The sequence below is a fragment of the Homo sapiens genome, chromosome 17, assembly GCF_000001405.40.
Source record: "Homo sapiens chromosome 17, GRCh38.p14 Primary Assembly".
NCBI classification, from domain to species: Eukaryota; Metazoa; Chordata; class Mammalia; order Primates; family Hominidae; genus Homo; species Homo sapiens.
Genome location: NC_000017.11, coordinates 75,463,699 through 75,488,978, shown reverse-complemented (window position 1 = coordinate 75,488,978; position 25,280 = coordinate 75,463,699). Strand labels below are relative to the sequence as shown.

Genomic DNA, 25,280 nt, shown 5'->3' with positions numbered 1-25,280 from the left:
CTTGTCAGTCCCATTCCCCTCTTCACAGAAGACACCAGGGACAGGAGGAGGCGGGGCAGCACCCCTACCTGATGTTGTCAATCACAGGGGTCTCAAGGACACGGAAAAGCCGGTGCTGCTGGGGGCTCTGTGGCCCTCTCTCCACTTCTCCCCGGGGTGAGGGTGGAGGGGAGAAGGGGGGGAAGAGGTCTCCCGGCTCCAGGACGATGTGCTCGTCATCCTGCCGGCAGCAAGTGGGAGAGTGGGAACGAGAGGGTCCTATCAGAGGCCACTCTTCCTGGACAATTCATCTAAGTACAGACATTCGCTGGGGTTAGGAGCCATCAGTTAGCCCAGAGTCCACTGGGACAGGGCCTGTGGGACTAGACTTTTAGCGAGAATAAAGAACAGCACAGGGGGCCAGGCGTGGTGGCTCACACCTGTAATTCCAGCACTTTGGGAGGCCAAGGCAGGTGGATCACCTGAGGTCAGGAGTTCGAAACCAGCCTGGCCAACATGCCGAAACCCCATCTCTACCAAAAAATAAAAAATAAGCCAGTTGAGGTGTGGTGGCATGTGCCTGTAATCCCAGCTACTGGGGAGGCTGAGGTGGGAGAATCGCTTGAACCCAGGAGGCAGAGGCTTCAGTGAGTTGAGATCGTGCCACTGCACTCCAGCCTGGGCGACAGGGTGAGACCCTGTTTCAAAAAAAAGAACAGCAGGGTGGAGGAAGATGTTCCAGAGCCTCTGCCAAAAAGCCAGTAAGCTGGCCGGGAAGCTTCCGGATGAAGTCTGGGGACCCTCCCATCGTTGCCTGTGGATGTTCCCACCGCATTTCCAAGGGAGAAGGAAAGCCTCAAGCTACCTTGATCCCCCTCAGAGAAGCAAACGATTCCTGGCCAGGCCTCAAAGCTATGATGTCTCCTTCAACCAGCAGGCTGACTGGCAGGTTGACCAGGTGTCCGTCTCTGTAGGCCCAGTGCAAGGACCAGGATGGCGCAAAAGGCATGTGGAGGTCTGGATACATGGCACTGGGCCACTGGATCTCCCTGCCATCCCTGAGGGCATCTGAGGGGAATGGAAAGAGGGAAACAACCCTCTCAGCCACGGCCCTGCCCCCCAGTCAGATACAGCAGCACTTCCGGAAGCACTGTCTGCCCACTTCCTCTCCCAGGAGGTCTGCGTCAAACCCCTCCACTCGTTCCAACACTTCCCTGCTTTCAAGGATGCCTCCCTTATAAAGCCCTACCCGGCCACTCCAGCCCCAGAGCCTCTACCTCCTCTCAACACCTGGAGCTCTCGTTCTTTGTACCCCCATCCCATTCAGATACACTTCACAAACATTGCAGAGGGCCTGTGAGGGGTGCAAGGTGGAGACAACAACATAGCTCCTCAAGGAGCCACAACCCAGTGGGGCAGATGAGACATGTGGACAGATAACGCCAAACAAGGCAAACACGGCTAAGCATTAACAAAGATCCCTGTGCTGCAGGAGTCCAGAAGAGGGAGCAAACCGATTTGCTGGGGCGATCAGAGGTGGCTTCCTGAAAGAGGAAGCACTGGGGATGGGCCTGGAAGAATGGTTTTGTCAGCTGGAGATGAGTGAGGGAGAAGCTCACCAGCAGAGAACAGTGGAGAGAGGCACAGAGGCAGAGGCTGATACACAGTGGGCCTAGGACTGGTGAGTAGTTTCAGCATCAGAATGAGGAGGAAGAGAAGAGGCTGGAGAGGAAGGTGAGCCTGTGTTGGAGGCTCTGGGAGGCCACTCGTGCCTCTGGGATGGCTTCCATAAGCAAAAGGGAGCCACTGATGCTCCTGGGCAGGAGACTAAGCTCCGGAAAGCAGGGCCCATCTTTTGCCATCACCATTGCACTCCCAGTGCCTGGCACATGGTGGCAATTAACCATCTCAGAACGAAAGGACAAACTCACTTAGCATCTAAACGTCCACTGCCCAGGTCTGTTGGAGAAAGGTCTCATGAGTGGGTGCTGCTTCTCCCACAGCACCACATGCCCCTGGACAGCAGGAGCCACCGTCCCTCAAAAGAGCCTCAACAACCCTCAATCCGCAGCCAAGCTTCATAAACACCGCCTGAATGAAAGGCCAAGCAGAAATCCAAGCCACTCCCCTCCCTTTTGGAGCTGGGCTGCTCCATCTCAGGCTCCCGGCCCCTACCCCACCCCAATTCCTGCAGGTATGTCTGCCCACCTTCCCATGTCTCCCAGCACAGTACACCAGACAAGATGGACTTGAACGAGAAAACTTCAATCATCCTCCTGCCATGTGAGAGGACTTCCCTGTTGGTTTCCCAACGTGAGCCAGCCTGCAAGCCCACCTGCCACTGTTGGCCTTCCTGCCTGCCCAGCCCTCTGCCTGGGCACCCACCACCATCCCACAGCTCTCACTGCCCTGCTCAAAAGAGAGTGGGCATCCTTCTAACTCCCCAGATGACAAGAGCCCCTGCAATGCTGGCCACAGGCAACCCGTCTGTGCTGGGGTGCAGGAGGGGAGCCCTCAGGGCTCTGATATGTCCGGTCATCTTTTCCCACCAATATGCCTGCCCTTGACCTCACCTTGGATTTGGTCAATGATCCCTCGCAGCCTCCGCTCTACCTCCCGACGCTTCAGCCGGTCTTGCCGCCCGATGAGCACAAGGTTGAGAAGCAGTAACAGGAACAAGGCCGAGGCATTCACCAGCCCCACCCCACGGCTGGTGGGAGGAAAGAGAGGCCGCACCCACAGGGAGTGAGGGCTCGCCCACCCAGCAGCCCCCAGGCCACAGCTCCCCTTCCCACCCCAGTCCCTTGTGGAAAGACTGTCCCGTTCTGGTGCCCTGACACCAGCTAGGCCTCTGACCCCATTCAAGGGACTGAGGAGGTTCCCTTACATCCCAGGAGCAGCTTGGGGGTGACAGCCCCCAAGAGCCCTGGTCTGTCCCAGGTGCCGCGGCAGGATGGACAGCACAGCTGGAGAGGTTGGGGAGCAGCCCCTGGGCGCACACCTCCCGGCTGGCTGTCCCCCGCAGCAGCCCAGCAGCAGCAGCACGGCCAGTAGCATGAGTGAGGCCCCCGGCCAGTGGAAGCAGGAGCAGCGGTTACTGTGGTGGAGGAAGCTGCTTCTCCACACCTCCTGGGAAGTTCGGACAGGGAGGGGACAATGAGAGGCCTGTCCCACTCCAATCTGGCTGCCTCCCCCGGCACCCTTCCCAGCCCCCATGGCCGCCTTGGTCCCCTCTCTTTGACCTCGGCTGGGCTCCAGCCTGTTGGGCTCCTGCAGCAAGCAGGCTCAGGAGCCACTCTGAGGGGAACCTTGGCTTCTTTCTGATATTTCATGAGGCCTCAGTTGGGTCACACTGTCCAGGGTGACAGGGTACATCAGAGTCCTGAGAAGGGGCCTCCCACACTTCCCTGCCATCCCAGCCAGGCCCTGGTAGCCCCGAGAAGAAGCTTCACCTTCCACGTCAGACACTTCTTCCGCTCCCTGAGATGTCCTTCCAGCACTGCCTCCAGCTGCTCCTTCAGGACGCTGAGGGCCTTCCGCGTGGACAGGCCCAGGGCTGAGGGAGGCTCGCCCTGCAGGCAAGCAGGAGGCGCTGGGCGTCACTGCCAGGCCAAGGCTATGCAAGGCACGCGGGCCCCAACCCTCCCCTTCCCTGGCCCTTCATCCTTCCCCTCCTCTGGGATCCTCACATCTCTTCCCCTACCAGCTCTGGCCTCTCAAGGTGTGACCATGTCCATCTCCACCAAATTACAAACTGTTCAAGTGCACAGCCTCCTACCCTACTCTTTACAGCCAAATTAAAAAACAAAACAACTTTTTCTTTTATTCCATGTTCCCCAACTCACTTTCCCCACTGCCCCTGGCGAGCTCCCTGCCCACCCAGGCTGTGCTCACCACTGATCTCCCAATTTATTGCAAGGGGGCCAGTCTTTGATTGCATGGACAATTTTTTTTTTTTTTTTTAGATAGAGTCTTGCTTAGTCTCCTAGGCTGGAGTGCAGTGGCACGATCTCGGCTCACTGCAACCTCTGCCTCCCGGGTTCTGGTGATTCTCCCGCCTCAGCCTCCCGAGTAGCTGGGATTACAGGCACACACCACCATGTCGGGCTAATTTTTTGTACTTTTAGTGGAGACGAGGTTTCATCATGTTGGCCAGGCTGGTCTTGAACTCCTGACCTCAAGTGATCTGCCCGCCTTGGCCTCCCAAAGTGCTGGGATGACTGGCGTGAGCCACTGTGCCTGGCCTAAAATATATCTTTTTTTAAATGGAGAGAGGGAAACTAACATAGAGATGCTATCTTTTGGCCAGGCGTGGTGGCTCACACCTGTAATCCCAGCACTTTGGGAGGTGGAGGCAGGTGGATCACTCGAACCTAAGAGTTAAAGACTAGTCTGGGCAACATAGAGGAACCCCATCTGTACAAAAAATCAGAAAGAAAAAATTAGCTGGGCATAGTGGCATGCACCCAGCTACTCAGGAGGCTGAGGCAGGAGGATTGCTTGGGCTCAGGAGGTCAAGGTCGTAGTGAGCTGTGATTGTGCCACTGCACTCCAGCCTAAATGACAAAATGAGACCCTGTCTCAAAAAAACAACAACAAAAAAGAGATGCTAGCATTTCACTGTTCCTAGGAAAGACATGAAGGAAAAAAACCTTCCAGCTCTGTCAGGGAGGGAGGGAGGTTGGGAGGGAGGGAGGGAGGGACGGAAGAAAGGGGCAGGGAGGGAAAAAACCCACCATCTTCTATAACTACCATTTCATGAAAGAGAGGATATTGTAACACTGAAACATTAGGAAGGACATAACAGAAAAAAAGGCAGCTATTCCCAGGGCAGGACTGTGCAGAGGCACACTCCCATCTCACCAAGGATGAATGGGACAAGGTGTGGACAGTGTAGGCCCCGACGACGCAGGGACCAACCACATCATCTTAGGCGACCTTGTGGCCCAGCCTTTCCCTGTCAGGACTCCCCCATTCCTGGCTTCTCTCCTGTTTTCTCCGTTGACTCTGACTGTTCTTCCCCATCCGTCTACCCCATAGGCCACCTAGGACACGTTACCAACCTCTGTAGGTTTCCAGAGCAACCTCATCCACAGTCACAGAGTCACCTGCCACCAACAAGCCTACAACTCCTATTTTACTTCAAGTCTGACCGCTACCCTGAATGTGGACCCGTCTGCTGAACGGGCCTACAGCTGCTTCACAGGGACCTAGGAGTCAATGTGTCCAAAAACCTGAACTCGGGCCGAACTCACGCCTGTAATCCCAGCACTTTGGGAAGCTGAGATGGGTGCACTACTTGAGGTCAGGCATTTGAGACCAGCCTGGCCAGGCCAACATGGTGAAACCCCATCCCTACTAAAAATACAAAAATTAGCTGGGCATGGTGGTGCATGCATGTAATCCCAGCTGCTTGGGTGGCTGAGGCATGAGAATCACTTGAACCGGGAGGCAGAGGTTGCAGTGAGCCAAGATCACGCCACTGCACTCCAGCCTGGGTGACAGAGCTAGACTCTGTCTCAAAAAAAAAAAAAAAGAAAAGAAAAAAACTTGAACTTGCCACCTGGCTCTACTGCCAGAGTCACCTTTCCTCTCACAGTGACTGTCTCACCCAATCACCTCTAGAACATTCTTGACCCTGGCCTTATGCTTGCCCAAACTCCACCCCACACTGTCTCTAACTTTTCCAAACCCACTGGAACACCTTGGCCAGAGCAGGGCCTGCCTGGTTGGTCAAATGACCTATTTACCCTTAAAATCAAGTCCGATTCTTGTGTGTGCTCCTGGAGACCCTTCAGATGTGCCAGCCTCCCTGGCCTCCTTTCCTGCTCCTCCTGACACGAGCCGAGCCCCTTCAGCTCATGTTCACATACTTGATGTGTTTCCCAGCGAGAATCACGTGCCCCACCCCAGTCAACTCTTGCTTCTCCTTCAAGACTCAGCTCAAACATCACCTCCTCTGGGACATTTTCCCAAAACCCAGGGCTGCACTTCAGGGGAGGTTTACATGTCAATGGTGTCCTGGGCAACCTGGCCTGCAGCCTGCACCTTACAGAACTGTAATCACAGATTGACACAGCTGGCTCTCCCGCCAGACTGCAAATTCCTTAAAAACAGGCTCTGAATTCTTCCATTTCCACACACCCTCACCATCCAACTGCTGAGACAGTGCATGGCACACACAAGCTCAGTGAATACTTGCTGAATGAATGAATGAATAAATGAATGAATGAATGAATGCAATGATCCCAATGAAACAGCAACAGGAACAACCCGAGGCATTCCGCAGCTTAGTCAAGGCTTCACCTTAATCGGGACTGTCAGCCCAAAATCTTAGACACCACAGCTTTTAAAAATGTGGTGGATGTCTAGGCTCCACTCCGGACCTACTGAACCAAAATTTCTGGGGATGAAGGGAATTCCAGGTTATACATACATACATACATACATACATACATACATACATACATACATATATATATATTTTTAAATTGAGACAGGGTCTTGCTCTGCTGCCCAGGCTGGATGCAGTGGCGTGGGCATGGTTCGCTGCAGCTTACACCTCTCAGGCTCCAGCGATCTTCCTGCCTCAGCCTATGGAGTGGCTGGGACTACACTCAGCTAATTTTCTTTGCTTTTTTTTTTTTCTTTTTTGAGACAGAGTCTCGTTCTGTTGCCCAGGCTGGAGTGCAGTGGCGCAATCTCAGCTCACTGCAACTTCTGCCTCCTGGGTTCAAGAAATTCTCCTGCCTCAGCCTCCCGAGCAGCTGGGACTACAGGCACATGCTGCCACGCCCGGCTAATTTTTTTTTATATTTTAGTAGAGACCGAGTTTCACCATGTTGCCCAGGCTGGTCTCGAGCTCCTGAGCTCAGGCAATCTGCCCGCCTTGGCCTCCCAAAGTGTTAGGATTATAGGCCTGAGCCACTGTGCCTGGCCCTTTGCATTTTTTTGTAGAGATGGGGCCTCGATATGTTGCCCAGGCTGGTCTTAAACTCCTGACCTCAAGCAATCCTCCCTCCTCAGCCTGCTAAAGTGCTGTGATTATAGGCGTGAGCCACCACACCCCAGCTCTGAGGCCCTGGGACAAAGAAGAGCCCCATGAAAGGCAGCGCCTGAAGGAGAAGTGAGTCTTTCCAGGACCACCTGCGAAGCATCCATGTGAGCTTCCCTCTGGAAAACCTCCTGAGCAAGAGGAGTGAATCCCTAGACCTCAGGCACCAGGAAAGGGATTTGGGGCAGCCATGGAGGAGGCTCAGCCACAGGCTGTGGGGCTGGTGACCCCTGGCTGCCTCGTCTCACTGCTCTCCCCACCCTCTATGCGGCCCACAGTTCTGTCTCCCAGAGTCCTGCCCTGGCTGTGCCCTCTGGCCTTCTGGGCTTACTCCTTCCTGCCTGTCTCCACACATACCCCCTCCTCGGCAACTGAGCCTCAGCCCTGGCAGGGCACACATCCCATAAGTAAGAGTGGCTCCTGGGCCCAGGGATGCTGCCCCCTGCCACAGCCTGGCATCACAGGAGGCACTCAAGTGGAGCCCCCAGTGCTGGCCTGAGGGACGGGGCCTGGCCCCAGGATTCCCCAGCTCCCTTCCCTAAATCTCACCTAATCCCGCTCTCCACAGTGGCTTTGGGGGATTATAAAGATAAGAGCCGCCTCTTCCCAGAGGGGATAAACTGGTTATTTCAGCTCAGAAAGAAATGGCCCTCCCGGCGGGGACCTCACACCCCCACATGGGTAAATACTGTGCTCCAACGCACCCACCTCCCTTTGGCAAGGATCCTGAGGCCTCCCAAAGAGGCCATGGTCCAGGGCAAATGAATGCCTGTACCTGTCCTACTGCCTCCCGGAGCTCCTGACATGGAGGGAAGGAAAGCTTCAGGGAGGGTTGTAAGGGAGGAAGAGAAACAGGAAGAGGAGACCATAGGCCTTCTCCTGTCTGTGGGCATGGACGTCTGTTCCTCCCACCCCAGGGAAGAAGAGGATCTAGGAGACAGGCGGCTGCACACAGAGACCCCAGGCCTCCAGTGTCTTCCCCTCAGGCTCAGCCTTCTGAGCTTCCTCGCCACAGAGAGGAATGTGAGTGTTCCCAGGACAGAATGGCCCATACCTGGGCCAGGCCTCCAGACATGATCAAGTGAGAAACACACTGAAGGCAGGAAAAGCTGGCCTGCATAGGGGGAAGGCTGTCCACCCAAGAGATGGAGACTGGGAGGGAGAAAGAGAGGAAGGACCAGGCAACTGTACACAGCTGGGAAGATGCTCGGCCTAGAATGAGGACCACACTCAGGAAGGTGACAGTTTCCAGCAAGGCAGAGAAAAGGCTAAGAGGAGTAGTCAGAGAGCCAGGGAGGTGTCCCTCCTTTGGTCAGGCCTGAAGATCTTGGACATTCATTGATTCTCGTGGGCCACATGGCAGCTGTCCTGACACCTGCTGCCTCATTCCAAGCAGCCAAGACCTCCTCACCCCGCCTGGCCATCATCTGCTCTCTTGCTGTCTCTACCCCAGGAACCTTGAAGCTGCGCTCTGCTCCCCTCCAGGTGTGGGAGGTATGGGCCAGAGGGTGGCAGATACTCCCAGGCAGGGCGCCTGCAGAGCTGTCTGTGTGCATCTGCCCCCGCTTGTTATGTCTGGTCAGGGACACCAGCTCCAGACTGGTGATTAAAGACAGCACAGTAGAGGAAAAATAAGCCATTCTGTAATTACGTGCTGCCCAAAGGAAGCTCTTGCCCGCACAGGCCAGCCCTGCAGTGAGGACCCAGCGTTCTGGGCCAGTCTGCTCTTTGCAGCCTTCAGCTGAGCTTATCCAACTGCCCAGGCATTCACCTCTTCCCTCTCCAGCAGGGGGTCGAAATTAAGGGTCAAGTCACTGCTCTCTCTCGCTCTTTTTCTCTTTTTTTTTTTTTCCTTTGAGACCGGGTCTTGCTCTGTTGCCCAGGCTAGATGGAGTACAATGGCACAATCTCGGCTCCCTGCAGCCCCCACCTCTGGGGCTCAAGCAATTCTCCCACCTCAGCCTCCAAGCAGCTGAGACCACAGATGTGTACCACCAAGCCCAGATAGGGTTGTTTTTAGTGTTTTTTTGAGATGGTCTCACTCCTGTTGCCCAAGTTGGAATGTAATGGTGCCATCAGGGCTCACTGCAGCCTTGACTTCCCAGGCTCAGGTAATTCTCTCACCTCAGCCTTCCAACTAGCTAGGACTATAGGTGATGCCACGACACCCAGCTAATTTTTTGTATTTTTAGTAGAGACAGGGTTTCGCCATGTTGCCCAGGCTGGTCTTGAGCTCCTGGGCTCATGTGATCTGCCCACCTCAGCCTCCCAAAGTGTTGGGATTACAGGTGTGAGCCACTGTACCTGGCCTTTTAAAATTTTTTTGTAGGCCGGGCTCAGTGGCTCATGCCTGTAATCCCAGCACTTTGGGAGGCCGAGGCAGGGGGATCACGAGATGAGGAGTTCGAGACCAGCCTGGCCAACATAGTGAAACCCTGTCTCTATTAAAAATACAAAAATTAGCTGGGCATGGTGGCGGGCACCTGTAGTCTCACCTACTCGGGAGGCTGAGGCAGGGGAATCGCTTGAACCCAGGAGGCGGCGGTTGCAGTGAGCCGAGATTGCGCCACTGTACTCCAGCTTCGGCAACAGAGCAAGACTCCATCTCAAAAAATAATAATAATAAATGAAAAATAAATTTTTTTTTGTAGACATGAGGTCTTGCTATGTTGCCCAGGCTGGTCTCGAACTCCTGGGTTCAAGCAATCCTCCCGCCTCCCATAGGGCTGGGATTATAGGCGTGAACCACCGTGCCTGGCCTGCTTTCTTGCTCATTGTGCCTCAGCTTTGACATGTGACATAAGAGCAGAAGACCTTCATACTTTCTGAAGGAAGTTCAGAATGGGTTGGTGGGTGAGTGGGCTCTGCCAGCCTTTCCCAAAGCATGGAGTTAGGCTGGCTACCCAATGTACCTGGGCACCAATGGCAGGGCATAGCGAGGGAACAGGCGCAGTTCTTATTATCTGAGAAACAGAAATCCGGGTTGACACACACAAGCTGAGGTCGCCTTTTCTTGCCTCCTGGGGCCAAGATGACTGAGAAAAAATCTAACCTGGCCTTAAGTACCCAAGGGTGACATGAGATTCTCAGAGCTTCCCACATGCTAGAAACTCCCACCACACCAAGGGGAAGGGAGGCCCTACTTCTCAAATTACACGGATGCTTTTCAGGCAGAACAAACCCCATTCCGCTGTTTTCACTGCTCAGGCTTAACTGGAGCAAGAGGAGAAAATAACACGGCTCTAAGGAAGTCCTGACTCGGGAGAGGCAGGCAACAAACGCCCAACACAGGGCTTGCTCTCTCTGTTCTATCATCAAAGAGGGACGCTGGCAGGGCGTGGGGATTTGGAGGAAGAGCAGGGTGGTGAAAGAACTCTATCCATCAAATCAGAACCACAAGGAGTCTGCCCCTGAGCAGGCCCAGCTCTGGAGGTCTGAAGCTGAGCACCCGGATAGGCTAAGGCGCCTTCGAGAGCCGACACACCTGAGCTCTCCTGTGCCGCTTCCGTCAGGTTTCTCAGGTGACCCAGAGTCAGAAACCCTCAAGCCCCAGGCCCTGTCCCCTTTCCTTTTTTTCTTTTTCTTTTCTTTCTTTCTTTTTTTTTTTTTTTTTTTTAAGATGGAGTCTCGGCCGGGCGCGGTGGCTCACGCCTGTAATCCCAGCACTTTGGGAGGCCGAGGCGGGCGGATCACGAGGTCAGGAGATCGAGACCATCCCGGCTAAAACGGTGAAACCCCGTCTCTACTAAAAATACAAAAAAAATTAGCCGGGCGTAGTGGCGGGCGCCTGTCGTCCCAGCTACTTGGGAGGCTGAGGCAGGAGAATGGCGTGAACCCGGGAGGCGGAGCTTGCAGTGAGCCGAGATCCCGCCACTGCACTCCAGCCTGGGCGACAGAGCGAGACTCCGTCTCAAAAAAAAAAAAAAAAAAAAAAAAAAAAAAGATGGAGTCTCGCTTTGTTGCCCAGGCTGGAGTGCAGTGGTGCTATGGCTCACCACAACCTCCGTCTCTCGGGTTCAAGCGATTCTCCCGCCTCAGCCTCCAGAGTAGCTGGGACTACAGGCATGCGCCACCATGCCTGGCTAATTTTTGTATTTTTAGTACAGAGAGGGTTTCACTATGTTGGCCAGGCTGGTCTCAAACTCCTGACCTCGTGATCTGCTCGCCTCAGCCTCCCAAAGTGCTGGGAATTCAGGCGTGAACCACTGCGCCCGGCCGCCCTGTCCCCTTTCACAGCTCCTGCACGACGTTCTGGGCACAGCAGCTGCTCTCCTTCCTACTCCAGCTGTTTTAGGAACAATAGAATCAAGGTCCCCTAAGCTCAGGTAGACAGGTTATGAATTTAGACCTTGACCTTCAGCCTTGACAACAGCAGATAACTACTAATTAGAACGGCTGGCTGGGCATGGTGGCTCATGCCTGTAACCCCAGCACTTTGGGAGGCCGAGGCGGGTGGATCGCTTGAGCCCAGGAGTTCGAGACCAGCCTGGGCAACATAGTGAGACTCCATTTCAGGCCTGGCCCCCTCTCTGGGTCCCCACTGTCGTCGTCAGTGCAGGTATGGAAGCGACACAAAGCTGGACTCCACACAATGCCCGAATCACGGAAGCAGAGATTCAGCCACTATACACTCTTCTGAGTTGGGCCAGACACAGATGGACTGTCTGCAGCCAGGCAAATCAGAGCCTTGAGCAGAGCTGCTTCCTCCTTTTCCTGGCTCATGCTGACCTTAGTACTTTCACCCACATTCTTCCCCACCTCCTGTAGCCACCAGGACCTAGGAAAAAATCCTCCCCACCCTGGTGGCTCTTGTCTTAGTTCCCCACATGGTCCTTCCTTGTGCCTTCAAAGTGCCTTCATTGGCCCTGAGGAGGGATGGCATCCTGGCCCTGAGCTTCTGTCACCTGTGCATGGAAACCCAGGTCCTCACATGCCTTGGCAGGGTATCCCCTGGGAGGCTTGGGTCCAGTCCTGCTCTGGGTGACTCGGGCACCTGGCTGGCAGCTACCCAGGCACACTGGCCTTCTGGCTCTCATTCCCAATCCCCTTCCCAGGTCCCAGCTACCCATGCTCATTCAAGCAGCCTCCCATTTTGCATTGTCTTCAGGACTCTCACAGCAACCGCTAACCCGAAGACTCCCACACAAAGCAGGGAACACAGCATTTTAAAGAGAAGCGTAAAAGCCCTGCCAGCATACTCACTTTGTTGCCTTTGCCCTGATGGGGCATCCATAGCTCTGCCTGCTTAAAGAGCATGGGCCAGAGTCTGAGCCACAAGCAGTCAGCTGCAAGAACTTCCAACACCTCCCTCAAAGCGGGGAGGGTGAAAAGAGAGAGAGAGAGAAGAGGAGAGAAGAGACGGAGACAGCTGAGAGTGTGTGAGCAAGAAGCCGGGTGCTGCACAGAATCAGGCGCAGCAGAGCAGAGCTTCAATCTGCTGATTAATTCAGCCTATTTCTAGTCACGCTGCAGATTCAGGGAGGGAGGAGGAGGCAGCAGCCCTGGAAGGGCGGGAGGGAGGGGAGAAGAGGAAAGAGAAGGAGGGAGGAAACAGGAGCATTGAGAAGAGAAAGTTTGTCCAACGCGCTGCCAGATATCCAGGAGCTTGGCCTGTTCTTCAGAGGAGGCCACAGTGGGGTTAGCTGAGGGGCACCATGCAGCCAGGATATGGACAGACAGAGGGATAGATGGAGGAGAAACTGCCCCTGTCCCAGAAACCTGAAGACAACTGCCAGTATCAAGGGGAACCCTGGGACACACAAATCCCAGCTCTCTTCCCAAACTACCTGTCCTTTGTCCCCAAGTCACTGGGTGAGCCCATCATCCATGAGAAGTCCCCAAATCACACGGCAACTCCCCAGCATGGAGCCAAGCCAACAGCCCTTTCCATAGTTACAGCTGCAGGAAGGAGGGGAGAGGGGACTTGTGGGTTATTAATAGTAGCACATCCTGTGTGGAGGGGGACGGGATGGACTGGCCGCTGAGAAGATTTGAGCAGTGACTTCTAGGAAGGCAAAGCCCAAGGCCAGGCAGCTGACAGAAGGAAGGATCCAGTAGGGAGGGAAGAGCCAGCCCAAAGGGCCTCTGAAGACTCCAACACCTTCCTGCCAGGTAGCACGGAGACCCTCACAGCCATGCAGGGAAGAGCCGGGCCAGCAGCCGGTGATGCCCCAATACATTCAGACACACCGGCCCAAGTGCTGCTGGGCCCATGAGGCTGCCCGGGAATGCCCAGGCCCTGCATCCCCCAGGCAGAAAGGAGGCCAGATACCTGGGGCTCCTGCCTCAGCACATGCCAGAGCATCAGGCAGAGCCTGAGTGAGTCATGGCTCCAGAGGCATCATTCAGGGACCGCGAGTTTGACATACAGGATGCTCTCAGCACAGGCACCCTGGGTGAAGCAGGGGCCGAGGCATGGGGAGTGGATGGGACACTTCTCTGCCTAAAACCATCCTTATAATGGGGTTACACACCCCAGGGGAGAGGAAACAGCCTAACAGGTCCCAGAGCTGGAGAGTGTGAGCTGGAGCCTGAGCATGTTTCTCCAGGGCCCTCCGTTTCCTAGACGACACCATCTCAAGCTGCAGGGAAGAAGGAGCCTCAGCAGCCCAAGCCAGCCTCCCCATTCCCTTTCATGAGTGCAACTCCCTGTGCGGCCCCCAAACAGAGTGCTGAGTGAGAACAGAAGGGAGGGCCCGGGCAGTCCAGAGGTTAAGAACAGGAAGACTCCATGGAGAGAAGGAAAGGTTGGCAGTGGGGGTCAGCTTCCACGCCAGCCACTGTGAGGATGCTGCTGCTCTGCAATCTGGCTGTAGCCAAAGAGAAAGACTCCTGTCCCCTCTCTCCTGTCCCTGAGGCACTGCTCGGGTGGGAGCTACAAGTCCACAAACACTGTCCCTTCTATGTGACAGGCCCCAAAAAGAACAGCACACAGGGACTAGCCCACGTGCTGTGCAGGCCCCAGCACAGCCCTCTCTGGGCCCTGCCTCCCTTCCTACACTACCCACCTCAGCAAATGGAGAAGGGAGCCCTGCACCCAAGCAGCAGGAACCCAGGCTGTCACTGCCACAGCAGGGCCACTGTGGGCTGGAGGACCGGGGACAGGGGTGAGGGCTTTGAAGGAGAGACCGAACTGATGGATCAGAAGCAGAGAACCATCAAGAGCTAAACCGCTCCTGAGCTAAGCCAGGGGACGACAACCCTCCTACCATCAATGACCACTATGCCAGCTCCTCCAAAGCCTACTCCTCCAAGACACCTTCTGACTGTTTTTGGTTTTTTGTTTTGTTTTGTTTTGTTTTTTAGAGATTCTGCTCTGTCCCCCAGGCTGGAGTGCAGTGGTGTGACCTCAATCTCGGCTAACTGCAACCTCTGCCTCCCGAGTTCAAGAGATTCTCCTGCCCCAGCCTCCCAAATAGCTGGGATTACAGGCATGCACTATCATGCCTGGCTAATTTTTGTATTTTTAGTAGAGACAGGGTTTCACCATGTTGGCCAGGCTGTTCTTGAACTCCTGACCTTAGGTGATCTGCCCACCTTGGCCTCCCAAAGTGCTGGGATTACAGGTGTGTGCCACCACACCCAGCTAATTTTTATATTTTTAGTAGAGACAGGGTTTCACCATTTTGGTCAGGCTGGTCTCAAACTCCTGACCTCAGGTGATCCACCTGCCTCGGCCTCCCAAAGTGCTGGGATTTACAGGTGTGAGCCACTGCACCTGGCTGAGATCATCTTTATAAGTCCATTTATACAACTCATGAGTTACCTCAGCTAGAGGCCCTACCAGGTCCAATTACTTAACTGCTTGTACTATCCATTTTGTTTGTTGTTGTTTTGAGACAGTCTTGCTCTGTCGCCCAGGCTGAAGTGCAGTAGTGCAATCTGCTCACTGCAACCTCTGCCTCCCGGGTTCAAGCGATTCTCCTGCCTCAGCCTCCCAAGTAGCTGGGATTACAGGCACGCGCCACCATGCCCAGCTAATTTTTGTATTTTTAGTAGAGACGGGATTTCACCATGTCGGCCAGGCTGGTCTCGAACTCCTAGCCTCAAGTGATCTGCCTACCTCGGCCTCCCAAAGTGCTGAGATTACAGACGTGAGCCACTGTGCCCAGCCTGCTTGTACTATCAATTCCTCTACTAGACAATAAGCCTCTCTAAGCCGGGGCCACCTCCCTGGTGCCTAAAGCTCTGCCAACCCAAAGCTGCCATTCCACAATATGGTGACTGCCAAGGATGACTGACGATGCTTTCCAGGTCAGGGCTCACCTATCCAGAAAGAGGAGGAGGACAAAGAGAAACCCTCCAGGAAAAATGGCCCCTGAGAGCTATCCAGCTGGGTTCTCAAGTCTTCTTCCTCAGGCTGGAGAGAGCACCCAGCCCTTCGATACAGAACTTTGTTTCCCCCATACACTAGGCACTAGTGTTCAGTGGTTCTGGCTGGAACCAGAAGACAATACCATCCTCTGTTTTGGGGGATTCAGCCTCACCCAGGCAGGCCACCGCATTGCATAACAGCAGAGCCTCTGGGGACATACTCCTTGGAACTGAGCAGTGCAGAGCCCTTGCAGCTGTTTGCAGCAGCCTTAACTCCCAGCTAAGAGAGAGGCAAGTGTAGCTTTCCCTCTGTGCCAATCACTGCTAGGGTGGATATCTGCTGAGCACCCAGAGGTGGCTATGAACAGGAGGCCAAGCACACCTGCTTCAAGTTCAATTCCAGAAACCTATTGCACAGCTGGTCCAGAGACATAGGAAGCCTGGAGCTGAACAGAAAGCAGTCAGCCAGCCTGGTGCCAGCAGAGGCCCAGGGAGTGAACCCACAGCCCCCTCTCTAGACCTTCCCAAGATCTCCCTGGAAGGAAGATCACTATTCAGAAGTTCAGGTCAATAAATATGTACTAAGCCCTTGCTACATGCCAGGCTCGGTGCTGTGAGCTAGGGATATTGAGATGAAGTGGAAGAGATGAGTTAATTTCAATAGAATAGCGAGTACAATGGTGGAGGTACTACAAATGCTGAAAGGAAGGACCTCTGGAAGGAAGGAGGACTTAACTGGAGAAAATGATGTCAAAACTAGGTCTTGAAGGAAGAACAGAAGAAGTTTCCAGAAAAAGGGGTGGGAAGCATTTTAGAGGTAATAACTAGTGCTAAAGTCAAAGCAGGAAGGCTAGGAACACCAAATCCATGGGCAGGAGCAGGATTCTGGAGGGCTTTGTACACACTAAAGGTTAAGTAGGTGGTATGGAACCACTGACCAGTTTTGTGGCAGCCATGTGGAGGCTGATGAGCAGAGAGTGCAGTAGTGCAATCTCTGCTCACTGCAACCTCTGCCTCCTGGGTTCAAGCGATTCTCCTGCCTCAGTCTCCCAAGTAGCTGGGATTACAGAAAACAGAAAGATCTATTAGGAAGGTGTGGCAGAAGCTAGGCAAGAGACAAAAGGACTTCCTCTGGGGCAGTCTTTGTCAAGGGAGAGGAGTTTTCTGATTGACAACTCTACCTCCATCCAAAGATAGTATACATGGAGGCTGGGCCAAACCAGGCTGGGAGGAGAAGACCAATCTTATGGCTGGCCCAGGCCACCTGGCTGCTCACCACCGGCTGATTAGGCAGCTGTGTTTGAAGTCTGATTGGGGCGCTCTTCTCTAACCACAGGGAGGTGCCCAATAGCCCTCAGCATGGCTCAGCAGGTTAGGACATCGCCCTAGCAAAGGGCAAACAAACTAAATTGCACACCCCTGGGCAAGAAGTGGAAGACTGGCTTGGAGCCAGCCTAAATCAGAAACCCTGCTCCCATGCGGTTGTGTTAATAGGTCCACCTTCATCCTTTATTCATAGCTCTGTGAGTCTGTGCTTTCCAGCCAAGAGGTCACAGTCGCATCCCCCAAGACTCAGAGCCTTGCCTCCTCTCTCAACTTTTGTTTAAAGCCCCCAGTTAAGGATCTCCCAGGCAAAAACAAGTAGGAAAGAGTTCAACAGAGACACACAGACAATACCTATAAGGTAATAGGATATGGCCTACCAGGTGCTTCTCCTTCAGGTCCATGGGCCAAGAGTACTGCAGGCATGCCCAGATGAATGTGGTCACCCCTGAAAGGAAGGCTCCTCCCCAGCATGTACAAACCCCAGTGAGTCTGTCACAGTCACAACATCTGGGGAAAAAGAAGAAAGAAATCACTCAGGTTGCTGGAACAGGCAGCTACTGTGAAACACAACAGCATCATTTTTTTTTTTTTTTGAGACGGAGTCTCACTCTGTCGCCCAGGCTGGAGTGCAGTGGCGCGATCTCGGCTCACTGCAAACTCTGTCTCCTGGGTTCAAGCGATTCTCTTGCTTCCGAGTAGCTGGGATGACAGGCGTGCATCACCATGCCCAGCTAATTTTGTATTTTTCAGTAGAGACAGGGTTTTGCCATGTTAGCCAGGCTGGTCTCAAACTCCTGACCTCAAGTGATCTGCCCGCCTCAGCCACCCAACATAATAGTATCATCTAAACCACAGTATGGTACGCGGAAAAGTACTGAACTCACTGACCATCAGACAGAGTCAGCCTCATCGAGCAGCAGAGCTTCCCCCAGGCAGTCAGCTCTAGATGAATTCCACTCTCTGAATCCAGGAGGGAGAGGGCTACAGAGAGGATTCTGGAGGGGTACAAACTTTCTCTCTTTCACCCTTCATTTTCTTTCTTTCTTTCTTTCTTTTTTTTTTTTTTTTGAGACGGATTCTCACTCTGTTGCCCAGGCTGGAGTGCTATGACCCGATCTTGGCTCATTGTTGCAACCTCCACCTCCTGGGTTCCAGCAATTCCCTGCTGCAGCCTCCCAAGTAGCTGGGATCACAGGCACTTGCCACCACGCCCGGCTAATTTTTGTATTTTTAGTAAAGACGGGGTTTCACCATATTGGCCAGGCTGGTCTTGAACTCCTGACCTTGTGATCCACCCGCCTCAGCCTCCCAAAGTGTTGGGATTACAGGCGTGAGCCACCGCGCCTGACCTTCATTTTCTTTATTATTATTATTATTATTATTATTTTGAGACAGAGTCTCGCTCTGTTGCCCAGGCTGGAGTGCAGTGGCGCAACCTTTGCTTACTGCAACCTCCACTTCCTGGGCTCAAGTGATTCTCCTGTCTCAGCCCCTCAAGTAGCTGGGATTACAGGCATGCACCAGCATCCCCGGCTAATTTTTGTACTTTTAGTTGAGACAGGGTTTCACCATGTTGGTCAGGCTGGACTTTTTTTTTTTTTTGAGACAGAGTCTCGCTCTGTCGCCCAGGCTGGAGTGCAGTGGCGCGATCTCGGCTCACTGCAAGCTCCACCTCCCGGGTTCACGCCATTCTCCTGCCTCAGCCTCCTGTGTAGCTGGGACTACAGGCGCCCGCCACCACGCCCGGCTAATTTTTTGTATTTTTAGTAGAGATGGGGTTTCACCGTGTTAGCCAGGATGGTCTCGATCTCCTGACCTCATGATCCGCCTGTCTTGGCCTCCCAAAGTGCTGGGATTACAGGCGTGAGCCACCATGCTCAGCCAGGCTGGTCTTGAACTCCTGACCTCAAGTGATCCACCTGCCTCGGCCTCTCAAAGTACTGGGATTACAAGCATGAGCCACCACGCCCAGCCTATTATTATTTTTTTTAATTTTGTGTGGAGAAGGGGTCTTGCTATGTTGCCCAGGTTGGTCTTGACCTCCTGGCCTCAAGCAATCCTCCCCACCTCAGCCTCTTAAAAGTTCTGGGACTACAGGCTACAGGCGTGAATCACTGTGCCCAGCCTCAACCTTCATTTTCAAAGGCACACTGTGTTTTGTTCCATATGTACTCTGTTTATCACTGAATTACAGCATGCAGGAAAAGCCTTGGTTTATTGGCTTTTTTTGTTTGAGACGGAGTTTCACTCTTATTGCCCAGGATGGAGCACAATGGCATGATCTCGGCTCACTGCAACCTCTGCCTCCTGGGTTCAAGCGATTCTCCTGCCTCAGACTCCTGAGTAGCTGGGATTACAGGCATGTGCCACCACGCCCAGCTAATTTTTGTATTTTTACTAGAGACGGGGTTTCACCATGTTGGTCAGGCTCGTCTCAAACTCCCGACCTCAGGTGATCCACCCACCTCGGCCTCCCAAAGGATTTATTGGCATTTTTATTTATTATCACTACTTCTTTGGTAGAGATGGGGTCTTGCTATGTTGCTCAGGCTGGTCATGAGCTCCTGACCTCAAGTGATCTGCCCGCCTCGGCTTCTCAAAGTGCTGAGATTTCAGGCATGAGCCACTACACCCAGTCAGCATTTTAAAAATTTAGGGTTAAGGCCGAGCACAGTGGCTCACGCCTGCAATCCCAGCACTTTGGGAGGCCGAGGCAGGCAGATCACTTGAGGTCAGGAGTTCCAGACCAGCCTGGCCAATATGATGAAACCCCATCTCTACTAAAAATACAAAAATTAGCCAGGCGTGGTGGTGGGCGCCTGTAATCCCAGCTACTCAGGAGGCTGAGGCAGGAGAATCACTTGAGCCTGGGAGGCAGAGGTTCCAGTGAGCTGAGATTGCGCCACTGCACTCCAGTCGGGCGACAAAGTGAGACTCGGTCTCAAAAAAAAAAAAAAAAAATTTAGGGTTAAGGTTAGCCTTAACATCAAGTGAAATCTAGATATGTAAGTTGGATAATAAGGGGGCAGCTGGGACAGCAGCAGGGTGGATGTCCACTGCATCCCCAGAACGAGGCACTGACTTCTTTCCACGTGCTGGCAGTCAGACGCCACACTCACCAGCATGTGCAAGCCCGCAGCCCCTCACGTGGTTGAGTGCAGTGCTCAACAGGCACCTGAGCAGATGAACACACGATGGGCAGCCCAATCTGACAACAGGTCCGACAAAAGCGGGCTGGTTACCTGGAAAATGAGGTTTGCCCTACCTCCCCACCTACCCTCACCAGCCCTCACCCTCCCGTCCTGGCAGCCGTCACTCTAATGATCTCAGACCAGGGTGTGTTTGAGTAAAGAGTGACACTGAGCAATCTGGTTTGATGCCAAGCGACTCCTCTTGGAGAAAGCACTAACCTACTGACTAAGACAGCTCTTTTGGGGGCCAGGAGCAAGCCTTGTCAAGGGGTGCCAGGCAGAAACCCAGAACTGACCCAGAAAAAAGCTGTCAAGAAATAATAAAAGCTGTGTCCGGAGGACCCAACCAGAAGGCCCAGGTTCTGCCACCAACTCCACTCCAAAACCCCGCCCAATTCCTCTCAAGGTGGCACCCATGCTGGTGCCCTAGGCTGAGCAACCACGTCTCTTCCACCCCTGCCTTTCAAAGCTGAGCCAGCCTCGAAGGCTCAGATACAGACAGTGACGCTGGAAGTGGCCTTGCAATGCAGTGACATTCAGTCTTTGGTCGCCAACTGAAATGGGATCCTGAGGGACCAAATCCACTCCTCCCCAAGGCCACTGTCTGACTCAGGCTGCCCCAGTCCTGCTTACGACTGCAGCTCAAGGTCCCCATGACACCCCATCCCAGCAGGGGCTGGATGAGATCGTTGCCACACAGGGAAAAACACCAGGAGCCAGATGGGGACTGTGCCTGTTAACTCCTTCTGCCAACGCTGCAAAGGCAAAATCACTCTGTGGCCAGCTGGAACCACAGCAGTACAGAGAGGGCAGCCAGGAACAGGACATTTTTCTAAGAGTCTCTGTTTTCCCATCATTCCATACATGGGATTCTGGGAGACAGCCATTCTTAACTGTCTGATCTGAAACCCGTAGCAGGGTCTTTAAAGGGCCAGTTCTGCTCCTAGCCCATTGTGAAAAAAAGCACAGGATTCAAAGCCAAATATCCCCGGGTTCAAATCCTAGCTCCAGTATGTCTCAAACGCCAATGACCTTGGCAAATTATTTGTCCCTCTGAGCCTCAGTGTCTTTGTTCATAGAATGGAAATGACAATATCTATTTCACAGAGGAGCTATAGAATTATGAAAAATAGTATATGCAGGGGGTCTAGTATAATATTTGACATATAGTAGGTACTCAATAAACAACTGCCATTACTATCAGCAGCAAGCAAAAAATATGAACCAAGTGCCACTTAGGTGAAGAATAAGGACTCAAAAGCAAGGTGGAAGAAAAAGAAATGGGGCCGGGCGCGGTGGCTCACGCCTGTAATCCCAGCACTTTGGGAGGCCGAGGCGGGTGGATCACGAGGTCAGGAGATCGAGACCATCCTGGCTAACAAGGTGAAACCCCGTCTCTACTAAAAATACAAAAAATTAGCCGGGCGCGGTGGCGGGCGCCTGTAGTCCCAGCTACTCGGGAGGCTGAGGCAGGAGAATGGCGTGAACCCGGGAAGCGGAGCTTGCAGTGAGCCGAGATTGCGCCACTGCAGTCCGCAGTCCGGCCTGGGCGACAGAGCGAGACTCCGTCTCAAAAAAAAAAAAAAAAAAAAAAAGAAAAAGAAATGGATGGCATAATGATGGGAAAAAATAAGTGAAACTGTCTTATTTGCAGAAGACAAGATCAATTGTATATGGAGAAAATATTAGGGACTCTACAAATAAGATACTAAAACAAATAAAGGTGCAAAGCTGCAGGATATAGGGTCAAAATACAAAATATAAATATATTTCTATATACTATAATCAAATATCAGAAAATAAAAATTTTAATATCATTTATAATAGTATAAAAACAGCATGGCTGGGTACGGTGGCTCACACCTGTAACCCCAGCACTTTGGGAGGCTGAGGTGGGTGGATCACCTGAGGACAGGAGTTCCAGACCAACCTGGACAACATGGTGAAACCCCATCTCTACTAAAAATACAAAAATTAGCCAGGCGTGGTTTTGGGTGCCTGTAATCCCAGCTGCTTGGGAGGCTGAGGCAGGAGAATCACTTGAACCCGGGAGGCAGAGGTTGCAGTGAGCCGAGATCACATCATTGCACTCCAGCCTGGGTGACAAGAACAAAACTCAGTCTCAAAAAAAAAAAAAAACCTTTAGAAATTATTCTAATAAAAATATATGTAAGACCTGTACACTGCTGAGAAAAATTAAAGAAGACTTAAATAAATGGGGAAATATACAATGTTCATGGATTGGAAGGCTCAGTATTAAGATGGCAATTATCCCCTAATTTATAGATTTAATACAATTTTTTTTTTCCCACTCCTGTTGCCCAGGCTGGAGTGCAATGGCACAATCTCAGCTCACTGCAACCTCTGCCTCCTGGGTTCAAGTGATTCTCCTGCCTCAGCCTCCCGAACAGCTGGGATTACAGGTGTCCACCACCATGGCCGGCTAATTTTTTGCATTTTTAGTAGAGACGGGGTTTCACCATGTTGGCCAGGCTGGTCTTGAACTCCTGACCCCAGGTGATCCCACCTGCCTCGGCCTCCCAAAGTGCTGGGATTACAGGCATGAGCCACCATGCCCAGCCTCTCAATACAATGTTAATGAAAGTCCCAGCTGGGACTTCCATAGAAATTGGCAAGCTGATTCTAAAATTTGTATGGAAAGATAAAGGACCAAGAATAGGCAAAACAATTTTGAAAAGAGAAACAAATTCTGAGGACTTACACTACCTGATTTGAAGATTTAACATACAGCTACAGTAATCAAAACATGTGGTACTGATACAAGGAGAGGCATACAAATCAATGGGACAGAACAGAGAGTCTAGCACTAGATTCACACATATTGACCCTTACTTCATACCATATACAAAAATTAACTTAAAATGCATCACACATCTAAACATAAAGGTTAAAACTATAATACTTCCAGAAGAAAATATGCAGGAGGGGTGGAGGCAGGAATCTTTATAACTTGGGATAAGCAAAGATTTCTTAAAACATAAAAAACATAAACTATAAAAGACAGCAACTTTAGCCAGGTCTGGTGGAGCACGCCTGTAGTCCTAACTACTTGTGAGGCTGAGGTAGGGGAATCACATGAGCCTAGGAGTTGAAGGTTACAGTGAACTATGATTGTGCCACTTCACTCCAGTCTAGGCAACAGAGTAAGATCCTGCCTCTAAAAAACAAACAAACAAATAAAAGAAAACAACTGATAAATTGTTCCATAAAAATAAAAAAAATTTCCACTCTTCAAAATATGCCATAAAAAAATTGACGTTGGGCACAGTGGTTCATGCCTATAATCCTAGCACTTTGGGAGGCTGAGGCAGACAGATCACTAGAGGCCAAGAGTTTGAGTCTAGCCTGAGCAACATACCAAAATCACGTCTCAAAAAGCAAAAGTAGTTTTGAAGTCTTTGGGATTAAAAAAAAATATATATATATATATATATATATAAAAATTCTTATAGCTCAGTAACAAGACCAACAACCCAATTTTAAAATGAGCAAAGATTTCAGCCAGGCATGTTGGCACACACCTGCAGTCTTAGCTACTTGGGAGGCTGAGGCAGGAGGATCACTTGAGCTCAAGAGTTGGAGGTTGCAGTGAGCCATGATCTCGCCACTGCACTCCAGCCTGGGCAACAAAGTGAGAACTTGTCTTAAAATAAATAAATAAATAATAAACAGGCAGAGATTTGAACAGACATTTCACAAGATATATAAACAGTCAATATGAATATGAAAAGATGGTCAACAACATTAATTATTGGGAAACAAAAATTAAAACCACAATGAGAAGGCCAGGCATGGTGGCTCACGCCTGTAATTTCAGCACTTTGGGAGGCTGACGGGGGAGGATGACTTGAGGCCAAGAGTTGGAGACTAGCCTGGGCAACATAGCAAGACCCTGTCTTACAAAAAAATTTAAAACCACAACGAGAGACCAATACACACCCATTAGAACGACTAAAATGAAAAAGACTGAGAATATGGCTGACGCAGGAGGATCTTGAGACCAGGAGTTCAAGGCTGCAGGGAGCTATGATCACGCCACTACACTCCAGCCTGGGAAACGGAGTGAGACCCTGTCTCTAACAACAACAACAAAAAGAGCCGGGTGCAGTGGCTCATGCCTGTAATCCCAGCACTTTGGGAAGCTGAGGTGGGTGGATCACCTGAGGTCGGGAGTTCAAGACCAGCCTGACCAACATGGAGAAACCCCATCTCCACTAAAAATACAAAAATCAGCCGACTGCACCTGTAGTCCCAGCTACTTGGGAGGCTGAGGCAGGAGAATCGCATGAACTCAGGAGGCGGAGGTTGCAGTGAGCTGAGATCATGCCATCGCACTCCATCCTGGGCAACAAGAGTGAAACTCCGTCTCAAGAAAGAAAGAAAAGAGGAAAGAAAGAAAGAAAGAAAGAAAGAAAGAAGGAAGGAAGGAAGGAAGGAAGGAAGGAAGGAAGGAAGGAAGGAAGGAAGGAAGGAAAGAAAGAAAGGAAGGAAAGAAAGAAAGAAAGAAAATGAAAAAATACACAGGGATAAGGGGCCAAAATGGAGAGGCTCTGAGGAGTCACTGAAGAGTCTGGGTTTCTGAGTAGGCCCCAGGTTTGTTTGTTTGTTTGTTTGAGACAAGGCCTCACCCTATTGCCCAGCCTGGAGTACAGTGGTGCGATCACAGCTCACTGTACCTCAACTTCCCAGGCTCAAGTGATCCTCCCACCTCAGCCTCCCGAGTAGCTAGGATCACAGGTATGTGCCACTATGCCTGACAATTTTTTTTTTGGAGACAGGGTCTATGTTGCCCAGGCTGTTCTCAGTATTTTAAGAGGGTAGAAAATGGATCAGAGGGAAAAGGAAAGAAATTATAGGCAGAAGAGTTAGAAGAAAATGATGATAATCTTGGTTTGCCATGCCAAGTATCTAGACAAAGCTGGCAACAGTAGCCATGAAGACAAAGGGGTGGATGCCTCCTGCTGCCAAGCTCAGAAACAAGGTCAAAAAGAACTAAGTGGGAGCCCAAGGCTCAGGTTGAGGGCAAGATGAGGAGTTGGCTGTCCTTCTAATCCCTTCTAGCACAATCTTCATTAGCTGTGCTTGTAAGCCAGCCATGCCCAACACACCAAAAATGCGGTTAGGTGGATCTGTATTCGGTTTAATAGTTGTGCCCACAGGGTACTAATTGATAGATCTGTGTTAAGCTGGAGGGAAGTTTTTAATAGCAAGCTGTAGGATTCTATCCTTGGTGGCATTACAGTCAATATTTTTATCAATGACTTGGGTGAGGAAACAGATGGTATGCTAATCAAATTCTTGGATAGCATAAACCTGGAAAGGAGATCAAAGTCAAAATCCAAGAAGCTCTCAACAGGCTGAAGTGATGGGCCAAATCAAAGGGGTTCAGTTTAACT

The 25,280-nt window shown here is 51.9% G+C and overlaps 1 protein-coding gene across 50 annotated transcripts in view, besides 4 other annotated features; it reads right to left on the bottom strand.

Annotated features, from left to right (window-relative positions):
- The window catches only part of TMEM94 (transmembrane protein 94), a 43,818-nt gene that overhangs the window by 11,474 nt on the left and 7,064 nt on the right, over window positions 1-25,280 (bottom strand). For 29 of the 50 annotated variants that reach the window (XM_047437170.1, NM_001438841.1, XM_047437179.1 and 26 more), the window contains 6 exons: window positions 17,050-17,179; window positions 3,432-3,551; window positions 2,981-3,108; window positions 2,553-2,689; window positions 845-1,047; window positions 69-220 (listed from right to left, as the gene is read on the bottom strand). In XM_047437170.1, the coding sequence (XP_047293126.1) occupies window positions 69-220; window positions 845-1,047; window positions 2,553-2,689; window positions 2,981-3,108; window positions 3,432-3,551; window positions 17,050-17,073 (764 nt within the window). In that variant the 5' untranslated portion in view covers window positions 17,074-17,179. Of the gene's footprint in view, window positions 1-68; window positions 221-844; window positions 1,048-2,552; window positions 2,690-2,980; window positions 3,109-3,431; window positions 3,552-12,235; window positions 12,443-17,049; window positions 17,180-25,280 lie in introns of those variants that run through there. The other 21 variants (XM_017025433.2, XM_017025442.2, XM_017025434.2 and 18 more) reach the window with 1 other exon arrangement.
- Window positions 863-912: an enhancer, noted in NCBI's record as "active region_12765". NCBI's record gives its function as "activates an Ori minimal core promoter by ATAC-STARR-seq in GM12878 lymphoblastoid cells {active_cell/tissue: GM12878}" and the evidence as "EXISTENCE:reporter gene assay evidence [ECO:0000049][PMID:35858748]".
- Window positions 8,200-8,384: a silencer, noted in NCBI's record as "fragment chr17:73476676-73476860 (GRCh37/hg19 assembly coordinates)". NCBI's record gives its function as "represses an EF-1alpha promoter that drives an FKBP-Casp9 reporter gene in an ReSE screen in phorbol 12-myristate 13-acetate-treated (for megakaryocytic differentiation) K562 erythroleukemia cells {active_cell/tissue: K562(+PMA)}" and the evidence as "EXISTENCE:reporter gene assay evidence [ECO:0000049][PMID:32094911]".
- Window positions 16,663-16,752: a silencer, noted in NCBI's record as "silent region_8968". NCBI's record gives its function as "represses an Ori minimal core promoter by ATAC-STARR-seq in GM12878 lymphoblastoid cells {active_cell/tissue: GM12878}" and the evidence as "EXISTENCE:reporter gene assay evidence [ECO:0000049][PMID:35858748]".
- Window positions 20,132-20,300: a silencer, noted in NCBI's record as "fragment chr17:73464760-73464928 (GRCh37/hg19 assembly coordinates)". NCBI's record gives its function as "represses an EF-1alpha promoter that drives an FKBP-Casp9 reporter gene in an ReSE screen in K562 erythroleukemia cells {active_cell/tissue: K562}" and the evidence as "EXISTENCE:reporter gene assay evidence [ECO:0000049][PMID:32094911]".